Below are 10,895 nucleotides of genomic sequence, written 5' to 3'. Positions count from 1 at the left end.
AAAATAACAACCTGAAAGCTACTCTTCTAAATTAGATTCTGGGCAACTAAAATTTTAGACACCTAAACAATAGCAGGCACTTACGGCTTGAGAGCTTTAGTTTGAGAAAAATGGCTGAACAACTTTTTGTCTTCACCCTTGAAATCTGGACCATTGAACAATTTTAAATATTTTTTTTTTGGTAGAGATGGGGTCTCACCATGTTGCCCAGGTTAGTCTTGGATCCCAGGGCTCGAGAGATCCTCCCGTTTCAGTCTCCCCAAGTGCTGAGATTACAGGCATGAGCCATGGTGCCTGGCCTTTTAAAATGACTTAATGGAGCCAATCTAATTCACTTCAGAGTTGGATTCTCAAGTAAGTGCATTTCAAATGCACTTTCTCACCTATGGAAAGCTCTTCACAGCTCATGACCATTTGGCTAACTTCTACATTTTATATCAGATGTCTTCTCCTCTGTAAACTGCAAGTTCACTGTTAGATTAGCTCATCTCAGCTTTTTTGCTGCATATAGCACGTCTCTCATTAAACTAAAACATTAGTGCCTGATCCCTCCAGCTGTCAGCTCTGCAGAAGCAGGGGCCCACACTGCTTGGGGAATGCTGAAAAGTTTGCCAAAGTCTATGACTTATCAGCACCATCTACGTGGTGTGTTTTCATTAAAATAAATTACCTAATCAGTCAACAGTATCCAGTCACCTGGACACAGAAGAGGAGAAGTAATCACTGCAAGGTGCATAACCCAGAAAGCAATGATCGGGAACCAGTTATTTCTCAAGTCAAGGCTATGATCCTAACATGTTACATGAATTTCAAAATTTAATAAACATTTTAAGTAGTCTTACAGAATTTAGGTAAATAGATTTCATACTAACTAGCCCAAAAAAGCATGACCTAAACACGTACACACACCCTTTCAAAATTCATTTTTTGTAAAACACTACTACTTAATTTCACCCTAATTTTTTTTTTGAGATGGAGTATCACTCTGTTGCCCAAGCTGAAGTGCAGTGGCACTATCTCGCCTCACCACAACCTCCACCTCCCAGGTTCAAGCGATTCTTCTGCCTCAGCCTCCCAAGTAGCTGGGACTACAGGCGTGCACCACCATGCCTAATTTTTGTATTTTTAGTAGAGATGAGGTTTTACTATGTTGGCCAGGCTGGTCTCGATCTCTTGACCTCACCTCATGATCCACCCTCTTCAGCCTCTCAAAGTGCTGGGATTACAGGCGTAAGCTACCATGCCCATCTCACACTGATTTTTAAACATTGCTCCAGTACTTAATTAGAAACAATACTTTGTGGTTTCTCAGTCTCTGTCTCATACTGTCTCACTGATTTCCACATCATTCTGTGAAGTAGGCCAGGAAGGTAGTATTATATGTGATGTACGTTTACCAAAAAAGTATAAAAACATCCATTCTCCTAAGTACAAGAATCTTTGAGTTTCGTTAACTTTTTAAATATTCACTTGATGAAAAAGCAGTAAAGAAGGAATAAAAGAATTAAAAAATACATGAAACGTTAAAAATAAAAAGGAAAATAGAAGTAAATCCAAGCATATCATAGTAACATTAAATGTGAATGGATTAAACAATACAATCAAAAGGCAGAGATTGTCAGACTGATAAGAAAAATGTGATCCAACTATATATATTATTTATAAGAGACACACAATAGATTCAAAGATATACATGGGTTGAACATAAAAGGTGCAGATAGTAGCCAAGACAGCTAAAGTGGTGATATGGTTTGAATGTGTTCCCCAAAAGTTCATGTGTTGAAAACTTTGTCCCCCAAGGTAGCAGTGTTGAGAGGTAGAACCTTTGCGAAGTGACTGGTAGAACCTTTGGGAAGTGACTAGTAGAAACTTTGAGAGGGAGAACTTTTGAGAGGTAGAACCTTTGGGAGGCCAAGCCCTTATGAATGGATTAATTCATTCCTGGTTGTCTCTTGTGAGGCCACCACCAAGTAATACCCAGCACTACCCTGAGACTCTGTAGAGTCCCCACCAGGGAAAAGATCCTCACCAGATAAGCCCTGTAACCTTGGACTTCCCAGCCATCAGAGCTGTAAGAAATAAATTTATTTATAAATCACTTAGTCTCAGGTATTCAGTTATAGCAACAGAAAACAGAGTAAGTTAATATAGTCAATCTTATAAATATGTTTAAATATAAATATATAACACATATATATTTATATTACCATAAAAATACATGATAAATATGTATATATATATAAAGGCTAAGCTACTCTAGCCCTTAAAAAACCAAGCACCCCAAATCAAAAAGTGCCTCCTGGATTCGTTTTGCCATTAATTGCTCACAGTGAATCAAGAACTGGACAAAATCAGTTTCAATGCCTGTCACTGATATCACCTATGCATTTTGTAGGTAAAATCTAGGTTTGTTCTCAACAAATGCAAAAGATCTGAAATCATAACAAAAAGTCTCTTGAACCACATCACAATCTAATTAGAAATTAAGACTAAGAAATTCACTCAAAACTGCATCATTACGTGAAAACTGAATAACCTGCTCTTGAGTGAACATAGGGTAAATACTGAAATTAAGGAAGAATGCAAGAAGTTCTTTGAAACTAATGAGAACAAAGATGCAACCTACCAGAATCTCTGGGACACAGCTAAGGTAGTGTAAAGAGGGAAATTTATAGCCCACAAAGAGGGAAATGAAATGCCCACATCAAAAAGCTAGAAAGATCTCGAGTCAACAACTTAACATCACAACTAAAAGAGCTAGAGAACCAAGGGTGAACAAATCCTAATGCTAGCAGAAGACAAGAAACCAAAATCAGAGCTGAACTGAAGAAGATAATGACATAAAAAATCTTTCAAAAGATAAAAAAATCCAGGAGATACTTTCTCGAAAAAGTTAATAAAATAGACAGACTTGCTAGCTAGTCTAATAAAGAATAAAAGAGATAAGATTTGAATAAACACAATCAAAAACAAAGGGGATATTAACACTTACCCCCAAAAAATGCAAACAATGATCAGAGAATATTATGAACACCTCTTTGCACATGAACTAAAAAATCTAAAAGAAATGGATACATTCCTGGACATATACACCCTTCCAAGGCTGAACAGAAAGAAATTAAATCCTTTAATGGACCAAAAACAAGCTCTAAAATTGAGGAAGTAATAAATAGCCTACTAAGTAAAAAAAGCCCAGGAATAGATGAATTCACAGCTGAATTCTATCAGTTGTACAAAGAAGAGCTGGCATCATACCTACTGAAAGTATTCCAAACAATTGAGGAGGAGAAAAATCCTCCTTAACTCATCATCCTGATACCAAAACCTGGCAGAGATAACAAAAAGAAAAAAGAAAACTTCGGCTAGTATCCTTGATGAATGTCAATGCAAACATTCTCAACAAAATACTGGCAAACTGAATCTAGCAGAACGTCAAAAAGCTTATCCACCAAAAGCAAGTAGGCTTTATCCCTGAGATGCAACAACAGTCAAGCTAAGAGCCAAATCAGGAATGAACTCACATTCACAATTGCCACCAAAAGAATAAGATACCTAGGAATACAGCTAACTAGGGAGGTGAAAGGTATCTGCAAGGAAAACTACAAGGCACTGCTCAAAGAAATCAAAGATGACAAAAACAAATGGAAAAATATTCCATGCTCATGCATAGGAAGAATCAATATCATTAAAATGGCCATACTGCCAAAAGCAATTTATAGATTCAATGCTTTTACTATTAAACTACCATTGAGACTCTTCACTGAACTAGAAAAAAATATTTTAAAATCTATATAGAACCAAAAAAGAGCCCAAATAGTCAAGCCAATCCTAACCAAAAAGAACAAAGCTGAAGGCATCATGCTGCCTGACTTCAAACTACACTACAGGGCTACAGTAACCAAAGCATAGTACTGGTACAAAAACAGAAACACAGGCCAATGGAACAAAATAGAGAACTCAGAAATAAGTACACATACCTACAACTATCTGATCTTTGCCAAACCTGACAAAAACAAGCAATGGGGAAAGGATTCCCTATTCAATAAATGTTGCTGGGATAACTGGCTGACCATATGCAGAAGATTGAAACTAGACCCCTTCCTTACATCATATACAAAAATTAACTCAAAATAGATTAAAGACTTATTGTAAAACCCCAAACTATAAAAACACTGGAATTCAAGACCTTCAAATTATGAAATCGCATGTATCTCTCATTGTCTTCTAAACAGATTTTAGTATAATGGAATTGATCAGAAAAGGAATATACATTTTAAAAATGTAATGCTTACCACCAAATTGTCCATTTGAAAGGCCATCAGCAACTTTAAGCAGCAGTATAATATCACTGTTTTTCATCTTCACAAAATTTGTGGACAGAAAACAATATTTTATACCTCTTTTAAATTCCTTCTCTTACCAAGAACACAAAATATTTTTTCCTATGAGCATAGGTCACTTGCAGATCTGAAAGAACTGCTTTGCTCAATGTTAAATTAGAGTCTTTTTTGTTTCAGGCTGATTTGAAATAATTCTCTGTAAAATGAAAATCCATATTTAATCTAATATGTATACACATATGGTAAATATTTTATGTTACCTTATGTTTTGTTATTTTTTGTTATTATAGGGTGATTTAATTTTATTTTGCTAGATCAACCTTCAGAAGGCTTGCTTGTGAGCTTCTTAGACAGGTTTTTGTCAACACAAAAATGCTTCTGTATAAATAAGGCATTTGTGTTTTCTTCTGATGTTTCTCTCATCTTACATATTTAAAATTTTCAGTCTATATTGTATGAGGAACTTATTTTTGTGGCATAAAAATCTAGCTAGTTTCCTCCAAAAAGCAGGCCTTTCATTAATGAAAATAATTCATCTTTTCCTACTAGTACAAAGTATCACCATTATCAAGTTCTGAATTCTTACATATATTTGAGTGTCCCTGGATTTTCTATTCTCTTGTATTCATTTATCTATCTTTTCAGCTGTTAGCAAACTATTTGTGGAAATCAATAGCACATTTGATATCTAGAAAGGTAAGACTTTTTTAACCGTTACAAAAATTTTCTTAATGTCATCACAATAGTGAAAGCATGTGTAATTCAAAAACGTTAAAAATTTTGATAGCTTTATTTGGTTTATGTAAAATTGATAAAGAGCTCACATCTTGAGAAAAATGAGTCTTCTTATTCAAGAACATGAACCATCTTCCCACTTCAAAGTGTCCTTCTAAGCTCCCTCAGTAAAGAACATATTTATGTAGGCATTCATTAATATAAAATAAATATTGGATTTTAGCCAAAGAATTTTTAGCCCAGAAGGTGATATATTATGGGAATTATTTCTTTCATTACGTTCCTTTCTATAATGTATCTAATATTATCTTTTAAAATGTGTACATTAAAAATAAAACACAGTATATACTTAATTTTGTTATACCGCTTTAAAATTCTCTCTGAAGTGCTCTGTAAGAGGAACTGTGGGTGGAGAAACCAGCTAAAGTTTTGGGTTTCTTTTGCTGCTCATAAAGATGACTTGGGCCCTCCGCCTCCAAGGCGTCCACATCTCAGGCGCTGCGGAGTCTGCCAGGGAAGAAAGCCCAGCGCCCTGGGGACCAGGACGGCCCGCCCCACACACTCCATTCTTTCCAAGCCTCCCCTCGCCCCCACTCCCCAAGCCCCCAGCTCTGAAGGGGGTGCTTCTCCCCACCTGCCCACCTCCTCCAGTAGCCCCCAGCCCACAGCCCGCAGTTCCCGACACATGTTCTTCTTGTAGGTTTCAGACTGGCCTTTTCTCTTGAGCAGGAGGCTCCGCTGCAGCTTCCACGCGTTCCCCTGGACGCAGCTTTGTGGATATTCCAGATCCTCATCTGGGGTCTGGTACCAGGGGTCAGAAAAGATGCGGTTATTCCAGGAGCTCAGGGGCACCTGGCCCTTCTGGCTCTCCACAGCCAAGATCTTCTTCATGGCCCGGCTATCGGCTTCAGAGACGCCACAACTAGCCCTCGCCCTTCCCGCCGCCCAGCCCCCACCCTGACCAGCACCATAAAGCAAGACGGTCTGGCCCAGACCTCAGACAGGGACCCTCCAGCTTCTCTGAGAGGGACGTCTCCAAACTCTCGGAGAAGAAATATACGGAGCAGAGCCATTGGGCCCCAGCGCGCACTGGCACCTCGGAAGGTAATGGCCCCGCGCGTGGCCACAAACTGCGCGTGGCCAGAAACCGCCCTGAGTCGCGCTCTCGTGGGCACAGCATGCAGGTGGCAGCTGCAGCTGAGGCGCCGACCACCAAACTGAGCTCATGGTGCGGTCTGCCCCAGGCCCCAGGTGACTGCGCAGCCCCAGTCCACTGCTCCTGCTCGACCCGCGCCCAAAGTTGGGGGTCCCTGGAGCTGGGCACTCTGCAGCCACCAGGATGGGACTGGGCACTGGTTTCCACCCTCCTGCAGCTGCGGTTGCAACTGCGTGACTTAGGCGCCACGGCAGCGTCTGGCCCTGTGGACCGCGATAGTAGTCACGGAAATAGCCCGGGTTGCCCCAGTTGCTGACCCCGCCATATTCAGGTGGCGGCTGCAGCTGAACCCATGGCAGAGGCTGGCAGGAATGGACCCAGATGGCCTGAGGGTCGCCGAGTGCTCAGCGCCCCAACCTAGGGTCCGCTCTTTCTTGGCCCCCCGCCCATATTGCTAGGTCGCGGGTGCTGGGCTTTGAGCAGCCACAGGAATGGGGCTGAACGCCAGTTCTAGCCCTGCTGCAGCTGCGAGGCCGACCGCCTGAATTAGGCGCCTAGAAGGCATCTGGCCCTGCGGTCCCTGCAGCTGGTGATGCCTGCAAGGTCAGGGGTTGCCAGCTTTGCGGCTGTCCGCCATGTGCAGGTGGCTGCTGCAAATGACCCCACGGCGGTGTCTGGCATGGCTGGTCCCAGATGGCCTGAAGGAGGCCGAGTGCTCAGCCCTCCCACAATAAGTTCGGCTCTTTCTTGGCCCGCGCCCCAAGCATGGGGTCACGAGCGTTGGGCACTGCTCAGCCGCTGGGTTGGGGCTCAGCAGTCGGTTCCCGCCCTCCTGCAGCTATTGGGCCGACCGCCTGACAGGCAGGGTCGGGGGTTGCCACCGCTGCTGCCGCAGTACCTGCTCTTCTTTGGCCGGTGCAGAAGCGCGGACTCGCAGGCCGTGGGCATTGTGCAGCCATGGGGTTTGGCTGAGCGCCGATTCCCGCCCTCCTGCGGCTACGGGGCTGACTGCCTAACCGAGGGGTCATGGCAGCGTATGGTCCTGGAGTCTATGCTGCTGGTGGCTGCTGGCCGAGTTGGGGGTTGCCACTCCCGCGGCCCCGTGCCATGTGCAGGTGGTAACTGCACATAAGTTCAGGGCGGAGGCTGGCAGGGCTAGCCCAGACGTCCTGAGTTTCGCCAAGTTCACTGCCCTCACACCGTGGGATCCGCTCTTCCTTGGCCCCAGTCCAGAGCTCTGGGCCCAGGGCGCTGGACTCTTTGCAGCCATCGCGATGGGGATGAGGGCCGGTTCCCGCCCTCCTGCAGCTGCGGAACAGACTACCCAAATCAGGCACAGTGGCGGTGTCTGACCTTGGGGACCGCGCTGCTAGTGGGGCGGGCAAGGTCGGGATTTGCCACAGGTGCTGCCGTGGGGCATGTGCAGATGGCAGCAATAGCTGAGCCCACGGTGGAAGCTGGCAGGGCTGGTCCCAGACCTCCTGAGAGTCGCCAAGTGCACCACCCTCCCGCCCTAGGGCTCGCTCTTCCATAGCTCGCGCCCTGAGCGCGTGGTCGCGGGCGCTGGGTACTATGCAGCCGCCAGGAAGGGGCTGAACGGCCACCCTGCTGCAGCTGTGCTGCGGGCTTCGGCGCGTGGCTGCCTGGCCGCGGGGTCCCCGTGCTGGTGGTGGCAGCAGGGTCGGCAGTTGCCTCCACTACTACAGCGCACTATGTGCAGGTGACAGCTACAGCTGAGCCTAAGGCAAAGGATGACAGGGCTGGCCCCAGAGGGCCTCAGGGTCTCCGAGTGCACCGCCCTCCCACCCAAGGGTCCACTTTTTCTTGATTCGCGCCCAGAGCACGGAGTCGTGGGCGCTGGGCACTCTGAAGCCCCGGGGTTGGGCTGAGAGCAGGTTCCCTCACTCCTGCAGATGCGGGAGTGGGGGCCGCCTAAACTGGGCGTCTTCACAGAGTCTGGCCCTGGGGTCCGCGCTGCTGGTGGCGCCGGCAGGGCCGTGGGTTGCCACTGCGGCTGGAGCGCACCATGTGCAGGTGGCAGCTGCAGCTGAGCCCACCATAGTGGCTGGCCGGGCTTGTCCCCGAGTACAGTCAAGTGCACCCAAGGGTCGCCGAGCGTACTGCCCTCCCTCCTCCCTAGGGTCCACTCTGCCTTGGCCTGCGCTTACAGAGCTAGGTAGTGGGCGCTGGGCACTGTGCAGCAGCCGCCTGGATGGGGCTGAGAGGCCTGTTACCTCCTTCCTGCAGCTGCTGGGCGGACTGCCTGATTTAGGCTCAGCGGCCTCCTCTGGCCCTGCGGTCCTCCCTGCTGGCTGCACAAAGGGTTGAGGGTTGCCACTGCTGATTTTGGGCGCCATGTGCAGGTGTTAGCTACAGTTGAGGCCACAGCGGAGGCTGTCAGGGATGGGCACAGATGACTTGAAGGTCGCAGAGTGCAGCGCCTTCCCGCACTAGGGTCTGCTCTTCCTTGGCCCAGGCCCAGAGCACAGTGTCCCCGGCGCTGGGCACTCTGCAGCCACCTGGAAGGGGCTTGGTGGCCGGTTCCCGCCCTCCTGCAGTTGTGGGGCCGACAGCCTGACTTAGGCGCCACAGAGGTGTCTGGCCCTCGGGTTCCTGCTGCTTGTGATGGTGGGCAGGGTCAGGTTAGCCATCGCTACTGCTGTGCGTCATATGCAGGTGGCAGCTGCAGCTGAACCCACTTCGGATGCTGGCAGGGCTGGTCCCAGATGTCCAGAGGATCACTGAGTGCTTTGCCCTCCCACCCTAGGGTCTGTTCTTTCTTAGCCGGTGCCCAGAGTGCAGGGTCCTCAGAGCTGGGCATTGTGCAGCCGCCAGGATGAGGCTGAGCATCTGGTACCTGCCCTTCTTTAGCTGTGGGGCCAAAAGTCTAAATTAGTCGCTGTGGCGACGTCTGGCCCTGGGGTACTCGCTGCTGGTGGCCCTGGCAGTGTTGAGTGTTGCCCCCGCTGCTGCCAGGCGCCATGTGCAGCTGCAGGCGCCATGTGCAGGCGCCATGTGCAGCAGGTGGCAGCTGCAGCTAAGCCCAAGGTGGAGGCTGGCAGGGCAGGTCCCAGAGGGTCTGAGGGTCGCTGAGTGCCCTGGTCTCCCACCCTAGGGCCTGATCTCCCTTGGCCCCTGCGCCAGAGCCCTGGGTCTCAGGCACTGTGAGCGGTGAAGCAGCTGGGATGGTAATAAGCAACAGTTTCCTGCCCTCCTGCAGCTGCAGGGATGACTTAGACTGTGCAGCTGCGTCTGGCCCAGAAGTCTGCACAGCTGGAGCCCCGACGGGAAGAGAGGCATTTGGGATGGTCTGGCCACCACTGCCCATGAGCAAGGTGTAGGTGGCAGTTGTAGCTCAGGCACTGGTGCGGGATGGCAGGGCTTCCCTTGAGCCTCAAGTGTGCCTGCTGCCAGGCCTCAGGGTCTACTCGTCCTTGACCTATGTCTGGAGTGGGTCCCTGGCACTGGGTAATCTGCAGCCAATGGGGATAGGTCTGAGCTGTGGTCTCTGCCTTGTGCTGCCGGCCAGTCAACCACTTGTCTTGGCGCCACCATGGAGTCTTGCCATGGAGTCCCTGCTTCTCGGGAGCGCTCAAACTAAAGTAACATACATGTTAGTAACACACATGTAGCTTAAAGTACATGTGTGTTACTTTAGTTTCAGCTTGAACTTGATGGAATTCAGATTGTTGATCCTGTTTCCTGACAAAGATCAAAGAGAGAGAAAATTTCTTATTTGAGCCAAAATTAGCACTCACCTCACCTGATTTTCCAGGTCAGTGTCAGTGTGGAAGCTGCACAACAAGAGGAAGGCCAAGACGTGGCTTTTAGGAAGCTGGGCAGAAAGTGAGCTGATTATAGGAGAATTCTTTTTTGGAATTTTATATGCCATTGTTCTTCCTATTTTTGGCCACATTTATCCTAGCTCATATTTTCCAAACCTTCCTTTTGCTTTACCTCAGACATTTAAACAACATTTCAGCTCAGTTGGGCTAAGATTCACAATGCTACCTCTTGTCCAGAAAGAATGACAATTGCCACCTACCTGCTTGGAGGTGTGAAAGAATGTTTATAAAGCAGTTAGGAGATCTCCAGGGAAAGGCCAACTTAATATATAAAGTGTGATTTTCTTACTAATGGGTGAGATTCTCACCTTCAGGAAGTCTGTGAATTTTCTCTGCAGTGATGCAGGATGAAGGGAAAAACAAGGTGCCTTCAGAAATATGGCATGTGTGAAATTAAACTGGTTATGAAGTCAGCCCAGTTTCAGGAGTTCTTTTCCTTTTCCCAGCTGGATGTGAAAATCCCGGAAAGACTCCAAGGGCTGCCTCTGTGCTGAGAAGTGACTTTCTTTTCTTCTCTTTTTTTTTTAAATTTTATTATTATTATACTCTAAGTTTTAGGGTACATGTGCACAACGTGAAGGCTTGTTACATATGTATACATGTGCCATGTTGGTGTGCTGCACCCATTAACTCGTCATTTAGCGTTAGGTATATCTCCTAATGCTATCCCTCCCCCCTCCCCCACCCCACAACAGGCCCCGGTGTGAGAAGTGACTTTCTAATGAAAGACTGCTATGCAGGGCAGATCTCTGAAAGGTCTTTGATGTTAGAGGGTTGTTACTGAAAGATGTCCTTATAGTCTGCAGAACCCACTCTACC

General features: G+C 47.1%; 1 long non-coding RNA gene across 1 annotated transcript, besides 2 other annotated features; it reads right to left on the bottom strand.

Annotated features, from left to right (window-relative positions):
• Positions 1-798: 798 nt before the first annotated feature.
• Positions 799-6,184, bottom strand: LOC286177 (uncharacterized). The gene is made up of 3 exons (NR_038874.1): positions 6,071-6,184; positions 4,293-5,876; positions 799-2,069 (listed from the first exon to the last, which is right to left on the bottom strand). It is a non-coding gene; the product is annotated as an uncharacterized LOC286177 (long non-coding RNA).
• Positions 5,841-6,422: an enhancer, noted in NCBI's record as "H3K27ac-H3K4me1 hESC enhancer chr8:58173547-58174128 (GRCh37/hg19 assembly coordinates)". NCBI's record gives its function as "activates a minimal SCP1, AML or CMV promoter by ChIP-STARR-seq in primed H9 embryonic stem cells {active_cell/tissue: H9 hESC(primed)}" and the evidence as "EXISTENCE:reporter gene assay evidence [ECO:0000049][PMID:30033119]".
• Positions 7,007-7,588: an enhancer, noted in NCBI's record as "H3K4me1 hESC enhancer chr8:58172381-58172962 (GRCh37/hg19 assembly coordinates)". NCBI's record gives its function as "activates a minimal SCP1, AML or CMV promoter by ChIP-STARR-seq in primed H9 embryonic stem cells {active_cell/tissue: H9 hESC(primed)}" and the evidence as "EXISTENCE:reporter gene assay evidence [ECO:0000049][PMID:30033119]".

This window comes from Homo sapiens, chromosome 8 (genome assembly GCF_000001405.40).
Source record: "Homo sapiens chromosome 8, GRCh38.p14 Primary Assembly".
Lineage (NCBI taxonomy): Eukaryota > Metazoa > Chordata > Mammalia > Primates > Hominidae > Homo > Homo sapiens.
The sequence above is the reverse complement of the archived record's forward strand: the minus strand, read 5'-3'. Positions and strand labels throughout refer to the sequence as shown.